The sequence below is a fragment of the Homo sapiens genome, chromosome 2 (assembly GCF_000001405.40).
Source record: "Homo sapiens chromosome 2, GRCh38.p14 Primary Assembly".
NCBI classification, from domain to species: domain Eukaryota; kingdom Metazoa; phylum Chordata; class Mammalia; order Primates; family Hominidae; genus Homo; species Homo sapiens.
This window is the reverse complement of record NC_000002.12, coordinates 131,716,941-131,742,490: the sequence shown is the minus strand read 5'-3', so window position 1 is coordinate 131,742,490 and position 25,550 is coordinate 131,716,941. Positions and strand designations below refer to the sequence as shown.

General features: G+C 35.0%; 1 long non-coding RNA gene and 2 pseudogenes across 4 annotated transcripts in view; 1 reads left to right on the top strand and 2 right to left on the bottom strand.

Annotated features, from left to right (window-relative positions):
* NBEAP2 (neurobeachin pseudogene 2) overlaps positions 1-20,073 on the bottom strand; it is a 29,168-nt pseudogene extending 9,095 nt beyond the window's left edge.
* LINC03124 (long intergenic non-protein coding RNA 3124) overlaps positions 1-25,550 on the bottom strand; it is an 84,906-nt gene that overhangs the window by 24,914 nt on the left and 34,442 nt on the right. For 2 of the 4 annotated variants that reach the window (NR_167889.1, NR_167887.1), the window contains exon 6: positions 19,843-20,074. This is a non-coding gene — a long non-coding RNA (long intergenic non-protein coding RNA 3124). Of the gene's footprint in view, positions 1-5,804; positions 5,952-8,538; positions 8,659-19,842; positions 20,075-25,550 lie in introns of all 4 variants that reach the window. The other 2 variants (NR_149013.2, NR_167888.1) reach the window with 2 other exon arrangements.
* Positions 18,113-19,374, top strand: TOMM40P4 (TOMM40 pseudogene 4; annotated as a pseudogene).

The following is a 25,550-nucleotide window of genomic DNA, read 5'->3' as shown; positions in this document are numbered from 1 at the left end:
TAGTGAAGGCTAATTATTTGTATTTAGTTAGCATTGATTTATTTTGTTTTTCCATTCAATTGGGCTTTTGTTATCTTTAATTTGAAAGAGGGGTCTACAGCATATGCTGTGGGTAAATGAAATACTGGATACATACCTATCATTCAAGAAAAGACATGCAATTTTGACTTTGATAATTTTGTTTTAGCCATTGAATTGTAGTCAACATCATTCTATCAAGACACATTGCAAAATACGTAACTTTTCAACTACATAGGTGCATTTATAGCCTCTCTCCAAATCTTTCTGCTAGTTATCATATGTATTACATTTATATACTCTGAATCATCCAGGTTTGCTTCTTCAGTCAGTAATGAGAGTCAAATAACAACAAATTTTTTAAATTTTCTTTCAAAAGACTCAAAGAATATTTTCACTGGATAAAAAATTCTAGGTTGACAGATTTTTTTTCTTTCTTTCAGAACTTTAAAGATTTTGTTCCACCTCTATGGCTTCCCTGCTTTCTGATGAGATGTGTACAGAAATTCAAATTATTGTTCCCTTATCAGTATCTAGTTTTCCTCTGCCTGCTTTCAAGGTTTTCTCTTTATCTTTGTTTTTCCACACTTTGACTGTAATGTGCCTACTTTGGTTCTCTTTGCATTTATTTTGGTTGGAGTTTTCAGAGTTTCTTCAATCTATAAACATAATCCTTTTATCAAATCTGAGAAGTTTTCTATCATCATTTATTCAAATATTTTTTCTGGCTCTTTCTCTTATACTGTGCCTATTAGACCTTTCAAAACTGCCCCCATACATCTCTAGGGTTCTATTTTTTCACCCCAATCTTTCATAACTCTCTTCAGATTTTCTGTCAATCTATATTCAAGTTCATTTACTTCTCTATAATATTAATTCTGCTAATAAGCCCATACAGCTTATTTTTAATTCTGATATATTTTTCAGTTCTAGAATTGCCATCTGATTTTGTTTTATTTCATGGCTGATACTTCCTATCTTTTAATTCATTATAAGTAAACTTTTCTCTACCTCGCTAGTTACAATAAGACCTCATGTGATATTTCCAACATGTGGGTTATCTTAGAGTTGGTATATGAGGATTTACTCTTCCCTTGAGAATAAGTCACATTTTTTCTGACCATTTTTAGAATAAGTACTTTTGGATTATATGCTAAATAGTGTGACTATTACTCTGTACAATATTATAGAGAAACTTTCTAGCCAGAAAGTTTCCTATAAAAGCAAAAAATGGGGATATCAGTCCATGTAGACAGACTGTTCCATATTTTGACTACCCTCCGAAGCTTGCCTGCTTTTATTCAATCTCCACAACCCTCAGATAGATATTATCTATATTATGTGCAGAGTTTACAAATGGTTATTTGTGAGAAGATCAGTTTGTTAGGAGTTCACCCCTCCACACAAGTACTGGAAGTCCTCTGAAGTGATTTTTAATTTTGGAGGTTGTGTTATACTTTTTCTCTTATCAGTTAGAACTTTATTATGATATAGCAAATTATAAAAACCATTATGCTATCATATTCATAAATGAAAGAGAGAACTCAAAACTAAATTTTCAAATATCTGGCCATGAAGACTAACTGCTTGCTACACGGGATTAACAAAACAATGAGAAAATGTCTAGTAATAATTATAAAATATAAAACCTTTGTTAAAATCTGATTTGAAGCTTATGTCAAAGGGCCACCTCATACAGAATCTTGAAGACATTAAATAACCCCAAATAGAGATCCACAGTAAACTTATGTGGTAGTAAATTTTACTATACTAGACAAATCTACAGTGAGATTTTCTGTATTTTAAATATTTTCTGTATTTCTGTATTTTCCAAACTGAATGGTTTATTTAGTTAATAAGTGATACCCTAACTTATTTACCATTTCCAGAAAATAACCAAGTACAGAATACTTACTGATAAGCTGCAATGCTCAAATCCAAATATTCAACAGAAAAAAATTTACCTAGCACTACAGTGACCAACAAGTCAAAATCATTTGTGACAGGTTCTATTGAATATATAGTTTGATGACATTATTTGAAGGTAGAATTAACTTATTTTATTAACTTTGAAGCCCATATGTTGACATGCTACCTACACTAAACTCAGAATCATAAATTTTGTCTGACCATTACAATGAAAGAAAGTTCCATATAACTTAAGGCAATAAATATAAATACTATGTTATTATACAACACTAAGTAATCTCCATTTGTGATTTATCCAAATGTCCATTAGTTATTATATTCTCTACACCTTAAAAATTCCACTGTAGCCCTCTACCCCTTCTCTCACAGAGAGTGACTTTACCAAGATAATTGTAACTATAATGTGTGAACTACTCAGCTTTTCTGTCAAAACACAACCCGATCATTTGCATTCCTCCTTCTCTATGCTCTCTGAATTTCTAAAAAAAAAAAAAAAAAGCTTTTTAATATAAAAAAATTTTGCTGATGCCTGTCATGGTGCAATTGTACTTATAATATTTACAAATTTATCTACTTTTACTGACATGGGATCCTGAATAACATCATCTCGGACTCAGGGACTCATTTTATTCAGCAGTAGAAGTGTGACAGAGGGCATGTGACTGTGGGACTCATTTTTTCTACCATAATCTATATTAAGTGACTTATTAAAGGCTCAGCTAAAAAACCAGTTCAGGATGATACACTTACAAAGGTAGCTCTGTTCTCCAAAATAGTCTATACACAGTAAATATTCAATAACATTATGTGGTCTCCTATAGCTGGTCTCTAATAGCCAACAACATGGGTCTGGGAACAAAGAGTGGAAATACAATTGGTGTCCTTTATTAAAACTCTTAGTAATCCACTTGCAGAATTTACGAGTCCCAGCTCCACTATTTTAGGTTTTGCTGGATCAGAGGTCTCAGATTCCAAGGACAGGGTAAGCAATCAACCAACCTGAAGATACAATTACAACTCTGGTCACTTTGGGATCCTCATGCTGGTAGGGCAACCCTCAAAGAAAGGAGTGAGTAGCCAGGAGAAATAACCACAATCATCATGAGTAGCTAGAGATGGTGTTACAGGGAGCAGGGACAGGGAGGCATAATCTAGAACTTGTGTTCAGTGGGATCACCTCTTGGTGCTCCCATCATCAGTGACAATAGTCAACATGCAACTGCAGCAACTAACCAGAGCCACCAAAGGTACTCAGACCCTAAGAGGTGAAAGGCAGGGTCATCTAATCTGGCAAGCTCCCAGAGCAGCTAAAGGTCTGGCTGAGGGAAGAAAGCGGGGAGTGAAGGGGGAGAGGACAAAGTCTAGTGTTGACCTTGGTACTAGCTGTGCAGTGGGATGTTTGCTTGTCCTACTACTTACTGTGTGTTTGTTAGGGATTATGCTGGCCACCTCTTTGAATAGGTGACAAAGTTTATCAGGTAGCCTCTGTAGATCCAAGCCATGTGAAGGTGAACCAATGCAAATGCTTTCCATGTCCTCCATTCTTCTCCTGGGCCCACTTCTGACTTTAACTATGCTGTGGTGAAGAATCTGTGTGCATGCCGCCTGTACCCCACCTCAATCACCCTCTGTTCCTCTCTCTGTTTTTCGGCCTTAGGATTTTTTCTTTCTTTCTTCTTCTTTTTTTTTTTTTTTTTTTGGTAAGAAACAGAAGCCCTTTTCAGCCCCAGATAGAGGCAGGCACAGCTAAGAAGAAACACAAGGGAGTTAATTAATACTCCTAGGGACAGCTCTCAGGCAGTGGCGGATGGCAGCTGGTGTGTGTGTGCTTTTTTTTCCCTTCAGCTCTGAGAGGCATCCTCACAGCTGCAACCTACATTGTGGACTCTTTATTGGATTTTCTCCCTCTCCATCTTGCTCTTCCTGCTCCTTCACTTCTCTTTCATTTTTTCCAACTTTGTTGAGATATAGTTAACAAATAAAAATTATATACATTCAAAAAAAAATTTACAAATTGAGAAAATGCATGTACCTGTGGATTTATGATCAACCCCCACTAACAACAAGGGTGCAGTAAGCTGAGAACTTTCAAAACTTAATAAAATACTATCTGATGTAATGCCCAAACTTACAGGTATATCTCTTAAAAGTTCTGGCTTTAGGTACTCTATTGTGTGTTAGGATACTAAGAATACTCTACGTCACATGAGCTGTGCACACATGATGACCAGGTTACTGCTCATTATCACTGTTGTTAAAAAGAATGACGAGAAAGGCGTGTGAAAAGAATACTACAAACTACAGAGTTTGCAAAGCTGTTCAGGACAAAGTTTGCTTCTTTGTGAATAGAATTACAAAATCGCTTATATTCAGCCTTTTTCCTTGATGTTGCCAGGAAGCTCCCATCAATTCTGATATTTCACATTAGCAATCATATCGGATTTGTATTTTCTTGATATTCTACCTTTTTATATTTTATTTGTTTGCTTGTCACTCTATTTAATATCATTCTATTAGAGCTTAAAAAGACACTGCAAGTATTTTATGAAACAACTCAAAGAAGTAGGAAAGAAAAGCAAGCAGCATATTAATAAAAAATGTGAATTACAAAAATATTCCTATGCAAGATCAACAATGGAAGAACCAGGATGCAAACCCAACACAAAGACCCATGAAAGAAGAAATAGCTGGACAAGCACAAATTCATTTCTAGAGCTAGTAAGACAAAAACAAAAATGATATGGAAAATATATGATAGCAAGTATTGTTACCTTGACATAAAAATAATAGCATTATTATTCTTCAATATTATTATGGTTATTAAAGTCACTGAGAAAAAAAGATCTTTTAATATGGGTAAATTCAAACTTTCCTCTCTCTCTCTCTCTCTCTCTCTCTCTCTCACTCTCTCTCTATATATGTGTGTGTGTGTGTGTGTGTGTGTGTGTGTGTGTGTATGACATAAAAACAAAAAGAGAAATACCAATGCAAAAATACAAAGGCCAAAGAGGGAATTTTTAAAAATATTTTTCCTTTCCATAACACAATCTTCACATTAATTATTTAAATTGAGTTCAATAAATAAACCACACTTCCATACAAGACAAGTACTCCTTCAGAATTATAAACACTTTGACTATAATGTGTAATTCTCTTTCAGCTCCAAGTAGTTTGAGACTTCACAATTCCCAATGTGATTTAGACAGAACCTTTATATATTCCCCTATCCAGGTGTACTGCACATTTAAAACTAACTCATATATGTGCATGCTATATCTTACCTAGAGTCTTTGTTCTTAAAGTTTAAAAAACAGAAAGAATATTATAAATTACATTAAATAATTAGTTTTGCTAAATTAGTTTACTCACTACTGTACCTACTTCCTCACTGCAATTAAAGCAAAAATATAAACTAAAATTAAATAATTTTAGGCCCATGAAGTATATTATCTTAGATTCCTTCTAAATCTTTAACTCTTCTTTCCAAGTTACCAGTAATATTAACAAGTTCTTTATTATGTTTACTATGTAATATATATATTTCAAATTTTTGTATTATAAATACTACATTAAGCAAAATAGTTTTATAAGATTTATTATTTCAGAACTGTTAACAAAAGGCATGCTATCAATATTAGAAAATATTCTGAAGAATAAAAAAGTTTATAAAGAGAAAACAGTTGAGAAAAAAGCATCTTTGAACCAAAAAGAAACACATAATAAAAACTGACTACAATCCAAAAAATAGAAATGACTCTTAAACTGTATTAAAGAAAGATTTTCACTAAAAATTATATTACATCACATTTTACATCTGAAATGCTCCATAGAATTTATAAAATTATAGTTATTACTACCTTATATCTAGGTCCTAACTGATGAATTGCAAATATCTGTGCTGGGTTGAGTGCTTCACTGAACACATACACGGCACCAAGTTGACCACAGAATACCCTATTTGCATCAGCAGTTTCTGATGATCCAAGAAAGCACTTGTCATAGCTCTATTTATAAAAGTCATTAAAAAAGCATCATTTTTAATGATGAAAAGGTTTAAATCCTTAAATCAACCTTTATGAATATTTTAAAATATAACAATAATAATAGAGGAGAGCATCAATGAAGACTTTATTATTTAAATAATAAATGCCAGCCAAGTTTTTTTGGGAAAAATGATCAATTACATTTTTTACACTTATGTTTAAGCAAACAGTAGCCATCTACTCAATCTTCTGACTTAACACTTTTCAAATATTATAGTTAAAGACAAAATAGCTTATAATTATTTACAAACATTAAAATAATTTAAAACTGTAATGATGTATAATTATCCATATATAGAGAGATTGATCTGAATCAAGGGAATGACTATTCCAAAATGTAGTGAACACATAGGGTCTAATTTTTTTATTCTCCTTTATTTTTGAAATTATGAATCTATTCCTCTATTCCTCCGTATTTAGTAAAAGACACAAAGAAAATAAATCCCCTCTCATATATGAGTAGGAACTACACAGAATCAAATAAACAATAAGACTAAAATCTGCTGCTTAAAGCAGATGGTACAGTGCCCTCCACATTGAGGAATTCAGCACTGAAGAAGCCAAAAGCTTAACAAGATCTTTCCAGCCTCTACTTCTTACACCCCACTCACCCAAACCAGGGAAAGCAGTCATGGCTCAGTTCCCTTCCCCTATCCCCAAAGGCTATTTCACACCTTAGAATGAATAAGCAAGAATTATATATGTAAGAAGTACTTTTGGTACTTCAATAAAGTAACAAAAAAAATTGTGAATGCGTACAAAGGCAAAAAGAACTGTCATCATTAAATACCCAATCTTTAATTAGAAGTATAGGAACTTAAACTTTAACTGCATAAAGTATGTATATATGTGTTATTATCTAGAATTCTCCACTTCTTAGGGCACTATTATAAATAACCAAAAAACTAAGTATTTTCTTTCCAAGATACTGTCTTATCATTGAATGAGTCAAGAAGACCACTGGGATTTCTTCCACTCTATAATAAAAAGACTCTGGAGAGAAGATCTCCTCTGGAGAGAAGATAAAAAGCAGAATTTCATCTGTGTATTCTAATTCTGAAAACAACATTCCATTAAATATTAATTGGTTGTGGCACAACCATGAGTTTCTATGGCAGGGAAAAGCAACTTTTTCTACAAAGGGACAGACAGAAAGTATTTTAAACTTTGCTTGCCACACCTGGTTGCTGTCCCATTCTTCTTTGATTTTGTTTGTATCTCAAGAAAAAAACAAACAAACAAAAAACCTTTAAAAATTAAAAGCCAAGAGTCTTTGCCCCCAGCTTACACGAAACCAGAAACAGGGGGAGGGTCAGATTTGGTTCATAGGGTGTAGTCTGCCAAGCCCCGATCTAGGGGACAACCTATGGACCATACACACAGTGCTAGTTAAAAGAATACAAGACAGGATAAGCAAATCCCTGCCCTTTGGGAGATTAAAGCCTATAGACATGCAAACAAAACTGAAAAATGAATTGTATTTAAGAGGTAAGTTCTTATAAAACCAGGTAAGCGTGAAGGGTTGTATATTATTGAGCTTGCAGGTACTTTCAGCATTAAAACAAACCTTTTACTTTGGCTCTGACAGGCCAGAATGTAGACAATGGAAAGCCCAAAGTAGAGAAACCGTAAGGACACTTGAGGTTTTAATTCGAGTTTTTCACTATCTAGAATCCAACTGTGTCACTTCTTCCACTGCTAACATACTGGTAGAAACTAATATAATCTCTTTGTTTTATTGCAATAAGCCATTTAAGTGATTTTCCTGCTTCTGTAATTTCCCTTCAAAATATTGTCAATACTGCAGGCAGACTGATGCTTTTAAAATATAAGCACACATCACTTGTCTGCTGAAAACCTTCCAAGGATTTTTAAGCTGAGTAAGATGCAAAAGCCCAGGCCTTATGTTTGCTTATGAAGGCCAAAATGATTTCTGCCTAACCTTATCTCTTAATATTATTCTGCTTCTACCTACCTCTGCTCCAGACAAATTGCCTTTTCCTTGAACTTTCCTATTCTGCCTCAAAGCCTTTACACTCACTGTTCCCACTGGATAGAAGAAGTTCCCCACATACCTTGCTTGTTCACCTCTTCCTACTAAAATCATCTCTGGACCATCCGGCTCCCCCCTTCCCTACAACTACACTTTCTGTATCCCCAATTTATTTTCTCCATAGCATTTATCACTATGTAATTAATAATAGTGACTATATGTTACACTTCTGTTTAGGGTCTTCTTTCTATATCTAAATAAGGGGTAAACCACATTTTTTAGTGCTTGATGCTGGAATAAATAGAATACAGGATTCGCGGTTTTTTATCTAAAAAACTTAAAACTTTGGCCAAATGTTCCTGTTTTTGCATCCCTAATCATGTCTTTTAGCAATTTTCTTATATTAAATTTAACAGTGAAAGATTTGTTTAATAAAAAGAATAAACTTCCAAAGTTTTAAGTTTCTACCAAACTATTTTATTATTCAATTCATTTTGTAATGATAGATCATACTCTCAAACAAATTAAAACACAGAGAGAAAAATAAAGACTTACGTCATTTGTGTTAACATGCCAAGCCATATCACCATAAGATACCAGTTGTCCATTAACATAACACTGAATTTCACTGTTTCTCCATCGATTGTAAATGTGGACAATGCTGATCATGTACCACTTAAATAAAAAAATTAAATATATCAATATGTAATGTTTGGTTATTATGGTCTAAAATGCAATTATAATATTCATAAAACCCTACAATAATATGCTGACAGGACTATTAATGATCATCTAATACCACTTCCTCAAGTTCCCCCTCCCATCCCTCATTTCACAGATGGTAGAAGTGGCACATAAAGAATATTCATGGAGAAGACAAGAACTACAGCCCCTTGACCTCCAGAGTAATATTCTTTCCACTATACCAAGATTCAAAATTGTGGAAATACAATTCATTTGTGTTCATTCATTTAAAATTTACATTGTGCCAGGCACTGCAGATACCCAAGGCTAACCAGTTCTCCTAGAAGTTATGAGCTATAAAAGAAATATATATGACACAATTAAACAAATGTAGAATTATAAATCATGGTGATTACAGTGAAGAGAAAAAGAACAGTATAAACTGAAAAAGAATAAAGTAGGATTCTACTTTGGATTACATGGTCAGGAAAAGATCTGTCAAAGAAACAACATCTTAGCATTTATAATATGATTTAGGTAGTTTCAATCTCACAATTAAGATTTAGTAAATCCAGTGATAATTATATATTTAATAACTTAATAATGTGTGTTTATTAAGAATCAATAAATGAGTTCATATTAAGTGCCCATTTTATAGTTACTGCTATCAAATAGCATTTTAAGTATCTATTTTAATATGGATGGTTTGATTTCTGAAACAACCTTTAGTCTCTTGAGAGTTAATATCCTAAAATAGAGAATATAGAAATATTTTTTTCTAAAGTATAGAAAAATACAAATGATTTATAAACATTTGAACAAGTATGCTTTCTGAAGTTAAGGGGGGAAAATTAACTGGTTTCTCCCTCCTACCAAAATATAAAACACAAACTTTGTTCTACAGATTACTTCAATGCACTATTCAATTATTTCATATATATTTTGAGAAATAAAAAGTTATAATAATCCTTAATCACTAAAATATTAGTCATTTCAAGGTATCTAAAATACTTTGAGCAAAATTCAATTTTTTTCATTTCAATTTAGAAAATAAAAATAGGCAGGGCACGGTGGCTCATGCCTGTAATCCCAGCACTTTGGGAGGCCAAGGTGCGCAGATCAACTGACGTCAGAAGTTTGAGACCAGCCTGGCCAACATGGTGAAATCCCGTCTCTACTAAAAATACAAAAATTAGCCAGGCGTGGTGGCATCTGCCTGTAATCCCAGCTACTCGGGAGGCTGAGGCACAAGAATCCCTTGAACCTGGGAGGCAGAGGTTGCAGTGAGCCAAGATTGCACCACTGCACTCCAGCCTGGGCAACAGAGCAAGACTCTGTCTCAAAAAAAAAAAAAAACAAAAAACAAAAAACAAAAAAAAACAGAAAGAAAAAGAAAAAGAAAAAAAATAGTGTGTTAAAGAACTCAAAAAAGTCAGTAATACAAAACAACAGTGTAAAGGTCAAGACATTTAACTGTCTAAAATGCACATCCTTTTTAAGGTTTTTCATTCCAGGAAATCATTAATTTATTGCAAACTAAGTCTTTCACTTGATTCGAAACTGACATATATGTTAGCCCTGATTAAAATTAGAAGAGAAAATCTTTAAAGTAGTCATTTAACCATTGTTTCTAAATATTACAAAATTATCAAGAAGAAACCATAAAAAAGAGCTTCAAATAAATTTAAGGAAAATCTTACAGAATTTTACATGTATAAGAATTAGTTTGCACATATTACCTTCACTGAGTTTGAAACTATCCAACAAGAATGCTATCTACATAACACAGAAGACACAATCTTTATATTCTGGAATAAAATGTGTAATAACTTTACATTTCTAAAGAGAAGAGACACAAATAAATACCTATATATAGGCAAAGATTTCCTGCCCAAAGACAATTTTAAGATAAATACTAGATATATTATTATACTTATTGGTGTACTTACGATAAAAAAAGTACTCATTCAAATAATACTTACTGAGTTCTTACTACTTCAGATAACTTAATGTACTGGGCAGGATAAATTTTACTTCCTAAAGACATGAATTGGGTTCCCAAATTACTAGCTCTATGGCTTTTGGCAAATTACTTAGCATCTCCGAATCTATTTTCATCTCCCTGAAAAAGGGGAATAATAATGCCTACTTTGTGGATTCCTTGTGAATATTATAAACAGATAATACATGAAAACTACGAAGAAAAGTTCCCAATGTATTCAGCACCCATAAATAACACACCATTAACTAAACTACTATTATGATTTTATCTACTATGTCCTCATGATGAGGTTCATTTATGCTAAAATTGATTATTATTTACCTTTCAGAGTATTTCATTCATTCAAAAAATGTACTAAGAGCCTACTTTATGCCAAGTACCCTGTCCCAACCTTGGATCATGGATATATAAAGACAGACAACATATACACACTCAAGGAAGTTTCACTAGAGAAACAGTTATGAGAACAATAGAGAATATCTAAAATACAGATTTGAGAGTAATAAAAGTAATTACTATAAGTAACAGGGAAAGAAAGACAAATAGAGAAGAAAGACTATCATAGAAGTATTCACTAAAAGAATAAAATGAACCATAAGACTATGCTTGAAGGATGAAAAGGAATTGTTCAGTAGACAGGGGTAAAAAAACATTCCAGGTGGAATCTTAATATGATACAGCACAGATGCTTGACAAAACTTTCTTCAGTGTGTAGGTTTAGCAGGAAAAAAAAAAAAAAAAAAAAAAAAAAAAACAGGCGAAGACCAGATTGTAAACAGACCTTTAGGAAACTGGCCTTTGTTTTTTTGCATAACGTGGTATAACTAAATAATTTTGAGCAGGAAAGTTAAACGATCAGCTTCATAGTTAAGGAAAATAGCTGGCAGCAATTTGGAGGTGAGATAGGTAGGCAAGTGTGGACAAAGATAAAACTGAAAAACCACTGCAAAGGTTTGGGTAAGACACCATAAGCTGCTGAACTAAGAAAAAGGCATTAGTAATTTTAAAATGAGGATGGGAATTAACTAACAGAAATGATAGGAAGTGTTAACATATAACAGGGGAGTCTAAGATGGATTCCAATTTTCACTTAGATGGGTAAGGGTACCATTAACTTAAGATCATTAATACAGAAAAATTAATCAGATTTGGAGTTTATCAAGGTTTGCTTTTGGTTGTAACAATAATATATGATAAAATTAAATGAATGCACTGATGAATTAATGAACTGATCTCAGTTAAGACCATAGTACTTATTTATAAGAAAAGTAACTTTTCTCTTTCCTTGATACATCAAACTGTACTCTACAGATAACAGACACAAGTGAGTTTTTCAATGGTTAAAAAAAAGCCTAACTTTTGACCTGATATACATTGACTAAAGAAAATAAAAATAAACTTGGAAACTACCTGTGCATAGTGATATTATGTATATATAGTGAAGTCTGCATTTAGTTTGAGACTCAAAAAGAAATTTATAAAAGAAGGACACAACCAGAAATAAGAAAAAAATAAAGTTCCATATTAAGAATCCACAAGATATATATTACAAATTGAAGATATGGAAATAAATTGAAGATAAAAAAGTACAGATGATATCAATAGTAGCTAATATGTCTAGAGCACATATTACCATTAGATAACATGCTAATGGTTTATATCCATTTTCACAAGTTCTAACAGCTGGTAAGTGGTGCAGCTGGGAAAGCAAAAGTTTTAATGTAAAGATTTCTTTTTGAAAGGCCAGTAAATCTCTTATTAGGAAGGATAACAACAACTTAGCTAGGGCATCTGTGGGAAATTAAAGAAAGGAAGAAATAAGAGAATAAATTTATTTTGAATAATGAAGCACAATAAAAGCAAATACTTATGACTTTTCCAGGTTTGTGAGAATCTTCACAGAAGACTTTTTAAAATCCACATCATTCTCTGGCCCTGCTGCTAACTAGACCCCTTAGAATCATTGCATATTGAGAGCTTTACAAAGGAGAATGTGTTTTCCACAAGTAAACAGTGAAGAAAACACAAAATAGAAAAAGTGAAAACAAATGGGTTAAAGCGCTTTTTATTGGTTAATGACAATTTCATTTGGTTATAACTTCACCCTAATTGTTTGCATGTATATTCTTTAAACCACTGTTTCCTAAAACTGTCTGATGAGAAAGTTACCTAAATATTTGTTAAAAACACACAATCCTAACATGAAAAATTATAATACCAACAATCTGTACTTCTAATCAATTCCACTGAAATTCAAAATAATTTGGCAATTTTAGCAAACTATCTTGGTCTCATCTTAGTTTTAGTAAAACAGAATTTCCAGAGCAAAGGCAATGTGATTGGTATTAAAGTAATCAATTTGCATTAAAAAAGAAAGAATACACCATTATAATGAATGAATATATTTATTCAGGTCACTGCTTTTTAAGCTATTTTCTAAGTATATATTGATGAATTATTGTTAAATTGATATTCTTTAATAGAAACTACAATTACTGACATTAAATATAAAACAAATATTTTCATTAGAATCATGCAAAATCTAAACAAATTTTTGAAAATACCACCCAAAATATTTTTTTTCTGTATATGACAAGACACACATCAGATCATAAGCAACAAGAAAACAAAAAAGATATGAAAAAGATATAAAGACCTCCCCCTCACCACATTTGGATTCATCATATCTATTATGATTGTACCATTAATCACAAAGGGTAAGGTGATATTTCTGTTAGGAGGAGGCAGTGTGCCCTAAAAAGCATTGACAATCTCATTGTCATATACCCAAGAAAGAACCCTGAACCTGGAAGGGGAAAAAAGCCTTAAACGTGTGTGACGGGAACTCCTACGCACTCTGTCCTTGTTTTCTTTCATCTCGACTTTCAGTTGGCTTGTTACTCTGACACAAAGATGGAGTCCGGTACACAGGCAGGAAAATCTCTCTAGAAAATGCCACCTGATTATGAATGAATTATCTCTTATAATTCTAATTATACAGTTGCACATTTCTCTGCATTTTCTCTTTACAGCAGTTTTTAAAATGTGTTTTGACCTTGTTTTTGCTATTATTTGGGATATTAAGTAAAGACACATTTCATGAGCCAAAACTAACAGTACAGCAACATTCCATTCCTTGAAGCCAGCATTACTAAAGCATCAGAAATTAACAAAACCTCCAATCTTAGGAAACAAGATTCAGAACTACCAGGATTAGGTGAATCTCCCACAAGAAAAGTATCTGTGCATTGCTTAATCTGGGGGTTTAACATTTAACTTTTTTAAAAAAGAGGCAAAGATTTATAACTCCCTAGTGCCTACAATGGTGTCCAATACTCAGTAAATAATAAGTATCTATTGAAAGAATGCCATAGAACAGATCAGACTGAGACGAGAGAATGTAAGAGAAATACACCACAAGAGATCAAAGCACTGATCTTATAGAAGACAAAAATCAGACATAAAAGTAAAAAGAAAATGCAAACTAGGATAAGAGAAAATCATTAAAAGCATAGGAAAGCCAGTGAAAGAGAATACTACAGAGGTCATAAAAGGATAGTTAAGAATTCTGTCGTAACAAGTGAGTTACAAAAATATTTACTTTTACCTGCCTTACGTGGTTGAAAATCATATTTCACACAATGCTGAAAACATTTTCCTTTGGACTTCAATGATGTGACTATAAAACAGTTGCCAACAAAATGAGCAGAGTAACCAACTCCTTTGCTAGCATGAAAACTGTAAAGACAACTGAGAATAGTATAATATCCTCTGATAAAAAGAACTAAACACCTAATGGCTGTTAAACATTCCTATAAAAATAAAAGTTATTTCCCTATATGGTAGAAGGAGTTTAATATGTGTCAAACAAAAACTAAACAAAAATATAAAAGGTTTGGTTATAAGTAAATATAAGAAATTTAAACTAGGAAATAAAAGACTATGGAAGCTTTCAGTATTTCAATCTAAAATCTCAGAAATACATAAAAACAAATTAATTGCCAACAAAAGCCTACCACCAAGTAGACTTTATCTACTTTTAAGGACCATTTGCAATCAGCAAATACAGAACACATTTATACAAAGTTCACATTTTAAATAACAACCTGCTCTCTAATTCCGGTGTACCTTTGAAAATAGCATACAAATTAAAAAGAAAAAGGAAAAAAAACTTGTTCATAGCCAAGTTTGATAAATAATGCAGTTGATCAAGCAAAGCAGTACATTTTTAGTTTAAAAAATTAAAAATATGTAACTATGAAATATAGTTGTTTTCTTCTACAGGAGCATTCCCCTTAGCTGTAAATTTAATCATGAGGTAGAAAAATGTGTAGTCATTGAAAAATGAAGGTACCACTGAAATTAATGTATAATCTCCCAAAATGACCACTTTGAAGTTCAACCCCATTTATGTTTGGAAGTTCAGATGCTTATTTAAAACTTGCTCTCATATTATCCATATATCATATTTTATAATAGAGCTTAAAAGATAGTAATAGCTCACATATTTCTGTGCTCACATTTCTGACCCAGCCATTATAAAAGGGCTTTAAATATGATTCTCTCATTAAATCCTATGGGATAGGCACTATTCCTATCCTCATTTTATAGTTGAAGACACCAAAAGTACAAGGTGAATAGTAGGTGGTGAAGCCAGAACTTGAACACAGGCAGTCTTATTTCAGAGTATTGCAAGTATTAAATGAGTTCATATATATAAACACTTACAATGCCTAGCACATACAATGGCAATCAATGAATGTTTGATGTTCTTATTGGTAAGTATGCTGTACTGTGCATTACTGGCATACTAAAATTACCGAGGTTTCAATCCTTACAGATCAACACATCGTTAAGTTGATCAACTAATTCTAGTGGTTTTCAGTAGTAATCCATTTGGTTAAAGGAGATTGAATATTTAAAGCCAAAAATGACAGAGCTAGAGAAAGTTAATGGAATCAATATTGAAGAAATGCAAGCATTAAGAGATAATGTTCATAATGCTAACAACATTGAAACCAAGAAAGGCAAAGCATGACATTTATTACTCAGAAACATAACCACTGATATTTATAACCAAAAAGGATTCAGATCCATTCATAAGCAGAAAAGGAATAATATAGGACTCCCTTGAAAATAGCAATCAAATAAAATGTAGCCATTCTAAGGAATAAATGAGAAAGTAGCTGATTATTTCACCTGACTTCAAGAAACATCTGAATGGATTTATTTATTTTCCTAGACTTTATCCAAATTCTACATAAAAAATAATTACCCATTATGACTTTAAAATTAATCTGTTCCCCAAACAGATCCTTCATATTGCTGATAATGGCCTTTCTCAAATACAACACGGACCTTCCATGTCAAAAATCTTCTGCATTCAGAATAAAATTTTAATTTCTTCAGGTTATACAAGACTTCCCACATGCTATGGCTCCAACAAACCCTTTTGATTTTATCCTCCTCTAGTACCCAACCCCACATTCCAAAGTACATCTAAATATACCGGCTATTCCACTTGTTCTTTTACAGTTCCTCTTCCTATACATCACGTTGCTTCTATCCAAATCATTCTTCCTTCCAACAAAATCTCAATTATTCTTTAATAGCAGACTAATATGTTCCTCATCTGTGAAGCTTTTCTGGACTTCAACCTAGCTTGGTTTCTCTTTTCAATTGTGTCCCCATAGTTTTGAGTACCTAAATCTACAGTATCATTTATAAAACAAGCTGTATTTGCATGTCTAGCCATCAGAGTTCTTCAAGAGTAAGGAATGTAATCTACTCCAAACATAATGGCTGAAGATATAGAAAATACTCTGTAGATGGCCAATAAATAATCTCAAAGTAGTCAAAGAATTCTAAGTGCTTGCCATGAAAAAAAATACACATACACACGCACATACACGTGCGTGCACACACACACTATTTCAGATGAGTTAAACCCTATACTAACGTTTCAGATTTTAGTGTGTAAGCAACTAGTTCAGGCAGTTTTATTATCATACAATATAAATAACATTTTATTATCAAACAATATAATTTTTCTTATCAATTTGCTATAAATGTTTAATTTAGCCACCTTCTAGTGACACTTTTACTACATTATTAAATAAAAAGTACCCCATTGAACTTAACATACAATACATTCAGATGTGAACAGTTAGTAGTGTTTTGGTGGCTACTAGTTCTTCCTCAGTATAATATTTAAAGTTTAATTTCTCTGTTAAAAAGCAAGACAGAGGTATTTTTCTGACATTTATTCTCTTTTCTCATATCCTTCCATCATCAAGCTCTTTTGAAGGGAAATACTAGAAATTACAAAAAGTGAAAAATTTTGTGTTATTAATATTATTACTGAGAAAAAGATAGGAGAATTAAGAAGCTTTATATAATAGCAATGTCAAAATATGAACTTCTATGGTACAATCACCCTCACTGTCACTTTTACATTTCAGTGCTGATGAATTATGTACCAGTAAACGACTATGCATGTAATTTTGGCTCATTCTCTAAACTGCACTCCATAGAGTAGCAGGAAATTTACAAAAAAAAAAAAAAAATTAAGAGCTTAAACTCAGATATAAGAATTGAAGGATCATATGATGTTCTATAAAACGTGTACACATAAGTCTATATTAATAAATTCCTATTAAGTAACTCTAGAATTTATAGAAATGCTACTATTAATATATCTGTATTAAAAAGATATTTTAAGAAATAGATGTCTGAATCTCATTTTTCACCAAGTTAGCCATCAGTCCCCAATACAGGGGTGCTAAGTCATTATAAAAAAAGATATATGCCACCCTGAAGGTAATTAGATATGATTTTTAATATATTTTCTCAGAAAATCAAATTTTTGGAAATATTTAAATTCAAAGCATTCTTTTTGCAATTTTGCATTCTTTTAACCCATTTTTCATTCCATTCTTTCTCATTTAATGTCTTGTTCCATAAATTTTAAAAATAATTAAATGCATAAGTCAAAATGTTTAAGAGTATTCTCTGGTATCTGAACTACTTTGCAGGATCAGATATAATACTGTGGAGAGTAATATCAGAACTTTTATAATTATGAAAATGCTTTTATGTCAGAAGATACTTAAGCTGAAGATTCATGGCTTACAAAAAATAAACATTTCAAACTTTAAACTTATTTTCTGGAATGATCCTTGCTCTGGAATAATATTCAAAACACTTTTCTGAAATGCATCTAGCCACACAGGAGAATGAGCATGCAAGGAGGTAAAGAAAGGGTTGGTGGTGAAACAATTATAGATTTCAAAGCTATTGTTTGAAATAACCCAAACAAGCAAAACATTAGTATTTTTATCTTGAAATTCTTGGTGAATTTTATGTTCTAGCCCATAATATATTAGTTTATTTTAACACAAAAGTTTCTTCCAAAATGGACATGTCCAAAAGATACACCATGCTGGCGACGGTGGTGGCGGCGGCGGCAGCGGGTTCGGTTGCGCGTGACGCACGGGGTGGGAGCGGAGCCCAGGCCGGGAGCAGGCGCCTCTGCCAGAGACCATGGGGAACGTGTTGGCCGCCAGGTCGCCGCCCGCAGGGCCGCCACCGCCGCCTGCGCCGGCCCTCGTGGAGCTGCCGCCACCTCCGCCCTCGCCGCCGGGCTTCACGCTGCCGCCGCTGGGAGGCGGCCTGGGCGCCGGCACCAGTACGAGTCGAGGTTCGGAACTGACCCCCGGGGCTGCAACTGCCAGCGCCTCAGGGGCCGCCGAGGATGGGGCCTGCGGCTGCCTGCCCAACCCGGGCACATTCGGGGAGTGCCACCGGAAGTGCAAGGAGCTGTTTCCCATTCAGATGGAGGGTGTCAAGCTCATAGTCAACAAAGGGTTGAGTAACCATTTCCAGGTGAACCACACAGTAGCCCTCAGCACAATCAGGGAGTCCAGCTACCACTTCGGGGTCACGTATGTGGGGACAAAGCAGCTGAGTCCCACAGAGGCGTTCCTTGTATTGGTGGGTGACATGGACAACAGCGGCAGTCTCAACGCTCAGGTCATTCACCAGCTGGGCCCCCGCCTCAGGTCCAAGATGGCCATCCAGACCCAGCAGTCGAAGTTTGTGAACTGGCAGGTGGACGGGGAGTATCGGGGCTCTGACTCACAGCAGCCGTAACCCTGGGGAAACCCAGACGTCCTCGTGGGTTCAGGAATCCTCGTAGCCCACTACCTCCAGAGCATCACGCCTTGCCTGGCCCTGGGCAGAATGCTGGTCTACCACCAGCAGCCTGGGGAGGAGGGCACTGTCATGTCTCTAGCTGGGAAATACACATTGAACAACTGGTTGGCAACGGTAACGTTGGGCCAGGCGGGCATGCACGCAACATACTACCACAAAGCCAGTGACCAGCTGCAGGTGGGTGTGGAGTTTGAGGCCAGCACAAGGATGCAGGACACCAGCGTCTCCTTCGGGTACCAGCTGGACCTGCCCAAGGCCAAAGGCTCTGTGGATAGCAACTGGATCGTGTGTGCCACGTTGGAGAAGAAGCTCCCGCCCCTGCCCCTGACACTGGCCCTTGGGGCCTTCCTGAATCACTTCCCCATCCCTGGTCAGTCCACCTTGCCCCGTCCACTTCCCCATCTCCTCGGTATAAATCATGTTTATAAGTTATGGAAGAACCGGGACATTTTACAGAAAAAAAACAAAAAGCAACAAAAAATATACGTGGGGAAAAAAAAAAGATACACCATGCTTATCTAAGGCTTTTAGTACTTCCTGTCATAGTTGCATATATGCCAGATTGAGGGGCACAGAACTAGGGGAATTTGGTGAAATGCTCATTATACAGAACTGTAATACCTATTGTGGCATTTTAATTATGTAAAAGCTGAATGAAATACTACATAAAAAGATACTGTTTATTTTTCTGATAGACTTCATAGCACTCCGTGGTACTGAGATTTTCTAAAATTTAGAAAACAACGTTAGTAATTATGTTTGTCTACTATAATAATTATGTTTTTCTTCTTTCACTTTTCAGGTTTTCCATTAATATAAAAAGTAAAATTTCTATACATTTCCATTTATTTTAAATCAAAGCAGTGTCAACAAATCTACATTACCTATAGAATATAAAGAGAAGTATGTGAAACTTTATAAACATTTAAGTTATACTTTCCTGACAGACAACCCCATACCTGCTATCATGTCATCTACAGCACTCATTTTCAGCAATACTTGTTCAATTAGTCCAGCTTCTGTGCTAGTCTGTACATTCCGAACACTTTTTCATAGAATGGCTGTAAACATGCTCCCTATTTCTGCTTGACATGTTACATCACAGTGCTCTAAAAGCTCTGTCATGCATGTTATACTCTCAGCATCCTGGATAATAAAGTTCATCTCCAGTTCAAATTCTCTGCCAACCAACTGAAAGTAAACAGAAAGAAACAATAGTGTTAACATGGGAGGTTACCGATAACAGTAGAATAAAATAATAACAACAATTCAAAGCTACTACTCTAAAAAAGTTTCAAGGCTTTTGGTATAAAATTATTTTTTATAAAAAGTATAAGAGCTACAGATAAATGACAGGCATTGTAAGCACTGAAAGTAGCGAACACTGAAGGGGTGGCCTGCCCCTCCACACCTGTGGGATATCTCATCAGGTGGGATGAGAGACTGAGAAAAGAAATAAGACACAGAGACAAAGCATAGAGAAACAACAGTAGGCCCAGGAGACCAGCACTCAGCATACCAAGGACCTGCACCAGCACCGGTCTCTGAGTTCCCTCAGTTTTTATTGATTATTATTTTCATTATCTCAGCAAGAGGAATGCAGTAGGAGAGCAGGGTGATAACAGGGAGAAGGTCAACAAAAAAACATGTGAGCAAAAGAATCTATGTCATAATTAAGTTCAAGGGGAGGTACTATGCCTGGATGTGCACGTAGGCCAGATTTATGTTTCTCTCCACCCAAACATCTCAGTGGAGTAAAGAACAATAAAGCAGCATTGCTGCCAACATGTCTCGCCTCCCGCCATAGGGCGGTTTTTCTCCTATCTCAGAACTGAGCAAATGTACAATCGGGTTTTATACCGAGACATTCAGTTCCCAGGGGCAGGCAGGAGACAGTGGCCTTCCTCTATCTCAACTGCAAGAAGCTTTCCTGTTTTACTAATCCACCTCAGCACAGACCCTACACGGGTGTCAGGCTGGGGGATGGTCAGGTCTTTCTTATCCCATGAGGCCATATTTCAGACTATCACATGGGGAGAAACCTTGGACAATACCCGGCTTTCCAGGGCAGAGGTCCCTGTGGCTTTCCACAGTGCACTGTGCCCCTGGTTTATCGAGACTCGAGAATGGCGATGACTTTTACCAAGCATACTGCTTGTAAACATTTTGTTAACAAGGCACGTCCTGCACAGTCCTAGATCCCTTAAACCTTGATTCCATACAACACATGTTTTTGTGAGCTGAATGTTGGGGCAAAGTGGCTGGGGCAAAGTGGCTGGGGCAAAGTTACAAATTAACAGCATCTCAGCGAAGCAATTGTTCAAGGTACAGGTCACAATGGAATTTCCTATGTCTTCCCTTTCTACATAGACACAGTAACAGTCTGATCTCTCTTTCTTTTCCCTACAAACAGAAATCTAATTTTCACATAAATGGGAAAGGGTGATTTCAAGTCTAGTAAAACAGAGCAAACTACAGCATGTGATTCCTGGGTGCGATTCAGGAAAAATTCCTAAAAAGAGGGTTTGGCCTTTAAAAGTGATAATCAACAGAAAATGTAGAATTTACTAAGGATAAATTTTAAGACACGAAATTCATTTTCTTTTTTGATATTACTAGTCTTACAGATAAAGAGATGTAACTGGGGCATAATCTCCATATATAGAAGATGAAGAAATATGAAACTGATACAACTTACAATAAATGTTGCAATAATGAAATGAATGTTAAAAATAAGTTGAACAGAAATATGCAAGGTCTTGTAATGCTTTTTTTTTTAAGCACAAATGTGAATTGGGTAAAGAAAGCTGATTTAACAGCAACACATTTGACTTCAGCATTATGGCAAATGAGTCCAAAGTCATACTGCCCCTCCCGTTTCGTATTTTAAGTGCAGTAATAGACAAATACACACAGAACAAAATAACATAATAATACTCTGTTACTATCTGTTGATTGAATCCCATAGGAACTATTATATTCAGTTATAAGCATCATTCTTAAAAAAGAACACTGTCAAACTGGATATCCTTTTGGTTTAAAGAATGATAAGATTTAGGAATAACTTGATAAAAACAGAAGGAAGAGTAAAGGGGACTTTGTCTTGCATCTTAGGTACCAACACCACCACCGTGGGGTAGAGCACCAAGTGGGCTCTTGGGGTCCCCAATTCTAGGACTTGACTCTTGGACAGCATTTCTAGACCTGCCCTGGGACAAAGGGGAGCCCACTGCCCTGACGGGTGAGTCCCAGGCCAGGCAATATTCACCACAAGCTGATATAAGAGCCCTTTCTCCTTAAGGGAACATCGATGGTACTTTGGCAGTACTCATGGCCAGGAGTGGCAGTGGCTACGGGGTGAGGCTCCTCAGCTTTTGGAAAGGGGAAAAAGTGGAAAGAGTGGGAAGGATTGTGTCTTGTGGTTTGAGTGCCAGCTCAGCCGCAATACAACACAATGCCAGGTAGATTTCTAAGGTTTTTGACTCTAGTCCCTGACTCCCGTATGGCATCTCTGGACCCACTGGTGGCCAGGGGGACTTTGCCACCCTGAAGAGAAGGACACAGGCCCAGCTGACTTTGCTACCTGCTAATTGTAGAGCCCCAGGGCCTTGAGTGAACATAGGCTATAGCCAAGGAGTGATTAAGGCAAGGCCCAGCACTGTGCTTGCTTCAGGTGTGACCCAGCACAGTCATGGTGGTGGTGGTCATAGGGGTGCTTGTATCATACATCATATCAGCCCCAGCTTTAGGTATCTCAGAACAGAGAGAGAGAGAGACTCTGTGGGCTTGGGAGAAAGTAAGGGAAGAGAAAAAGAGACTCTGCCTGGTAATCTAGAGAATTATCCCAGATCTTATCCAAGGCCATCAAGGCAGTACCTCTACAAGCCTGCAAGAACCACAGTGTCACTGGAAAGCCTTCCCAAGAAGGATGGCTACAAATAAGCTCAGGCAATGAGGAGTACAATAAATACCTAACTCTTCAATGCTCAGGCCCCAAGGAACATGTACTAGCATTAACACCATCCAGAAAAACATGACCTCACCAAATGAACTAAATAAGGCACCAAGAATCAATCCTCAAGAAACAAAGCTATGTGACCTTTCACATGGAGAATTCAAAATAGCTGTGTTGAGGAAACTCAAAGAAATTCAAGATAACACAGAGAAGGGATTCAGAATTCTATCAGATAAATTTAACAAAGATATTGAAATAATTTTTAAAACTCGAGCAGAAATTCTGGAGCTCAAAAATGCAATTGGCATACTTAAGAATGCATCAAGTCCTTCAAGAGCAAACTGGATCAAGCAGAGGAAAGAATTAATGAGCTTCTGAAGAAAGGCTATTTGAAAACACACAGAGGAGAAAAAAGAATAAAAACCAATGACACATGCATACACGATCTAGGGAATAGCCTCAAAAGGGCAAATCTAAGAGGTATTGGCCTTGAAAAAGAGGTAGAGAACAGGGTTAGAAAGTTTATTTTGAGTAAACATTCCAATAACAGAGAACTACCCAAACCTAGAGAAAATATCCAAGTACAAGAAGGTTATAGAATACCAAGCAGATTTAACCCAAAGAAGACTACCTCAAGACATTTAATAATCAAACACCCAAAGGTCAAGAATAAAATAAGAATCCTAAAAGCTGCAAGAGAAATAAACAATAACATACAAAGGAGTCCCAATACATCTGGCAGCAGACTTTTCAGTGAAAACCTTATATGCCAGGAGACAGTGGCATGACATATTTATATTGCTGAGGGAAAAAAACTTTTACCCTAGAATAGTATATCCAGTGAAAATATCATTTGACCATGAAGAGGAAATAAAGACTTACCCAAACAAATAAAAGCTAAGGGATTTCATCAACGCCAGACCTGTCCTACAAGAAATGCTAAAGAGGGTACTTCAATCAGAAAGAAAAGGGCATTAATGAGCAATAAATGATCACCTGAAAATGCAAAACTTACTGGTAATATAAGTACACAGAAAAATACAGAATGTTATAAACACTGTTACTGTGGTTTGCAAACTACTCTTATCCTAGGTAGAAAGACTAAATGATGAATTAAACAACAATAATAACTACAACAACTTTTCAAGACATAGGCAGTATAATAAGATATAAACAGAAAAAACGAAAAGTTAAAAAGCAAGGAAATGAGGTTAAGGCAAGTTTTTACTAGTTTTCTTTTTGCTTGTTTGCTTATGCAAATAGTATCCCGTTATCAGGTTAAAATGATGAGTGATAAGACAGCATTTGCAAGGCTCATGGTAACCTCAAACCAAAAAACATACAATGGACACAAAAAAAAATAAAAATCAAGTAACTAAATCACCAGAGAAAATCATCTTCACTAGAGGAAGACAAGAATGCAAGAAAGAAGACCACAAAACAACCAGAAAACCAAAAACAAAATGGCAAGAGTAGATCCTTACTTAATAATAACAGTGAATGTAAATACACTAAACTCTCCAATCAAAAGACACAGACTAACTAAATGGATGAAAAAACAAGACCTATTGATCTGTTGCCTAAAAGAAACACACTTCACCTATAGAGACACATAAAGACTGAAAATAAACAGATGGAAAAAGATATCCCATGCCAAAGAAAACCAAAAAAAGAGCAGAAGTCACTATACTTATATCAGGCAAAAGAAATTTCAAGACAAAAGCTAACTATAAAAAGAGACAAAGAAGGTCACCATATAAAGATAAGGGGGTCAATTAAGCAAGAGGATATAATAATTTCAATATATATGCACCCAACACTGGAGCACCCAGATATATAAAGGAAATACTATTACAGCTAAAGACAGCTATAGGCTCCATAATATCTGCAGACTTCAAAACCTCACTTTCAGCATTGGACACATCTTCCAGAAAGAAAACAAAGAAACATCAGAATTAATCTTCACTGCAGACCAAATTGAGCTAATAGATATTTACAGAACATTTCATCCAGAAGCTGCAGAATACACATTATTTTCCTCAGCACATGGATCAGTTGAAAAGACAGACCATATGTTAGGTCACAAAACAAATCTTGAAACATTCCAAAAAAATGAAATAATATAAAGCATCTTCTCTGACAACAATGGAATAAAACTAGAAATACCAAGAGAAATTTCGGAAACTATACAAATACATGGAAATCAAACAATATGCTCCTGAATGACAAGTGGGTCAATGAAGAAATTAAGAAAGAAATTGAAAAATTTCTTGAAACAAATAATAATAGAAACACAACATACCAAAATCTATGGGATACAACAAAAGTTGTACTAAGAGTGATGTTTATAAGTGCCAATATCAAAAAAGAGGAAAAATATCAAATAAACAATCAAATGCTGCATCTTAAAGAACTGAATGATCAAGAGCACACCAAATCCAAAATTAACAGAAGAAAAGAAATAATAAAGATCAGAGCAGAAATAAATAAAATTGAAATAAAAAATACAAAAGATCAAAGAAATGAAAAGTTTATTTTCTGGAAAGCTAACCAAAATTGACAAATCTTTAGCCAGACTAAGAGAGAAGATCCAAATAAAGAAAATCAGAAATAAAAAAGGAGACATTACAACTGATACTGCAAAAATTCAAAGGATCATTAGCGGCTACTGTGGGCAACTACACGCAAATTAATTGGAAAATCTAGAAGAAA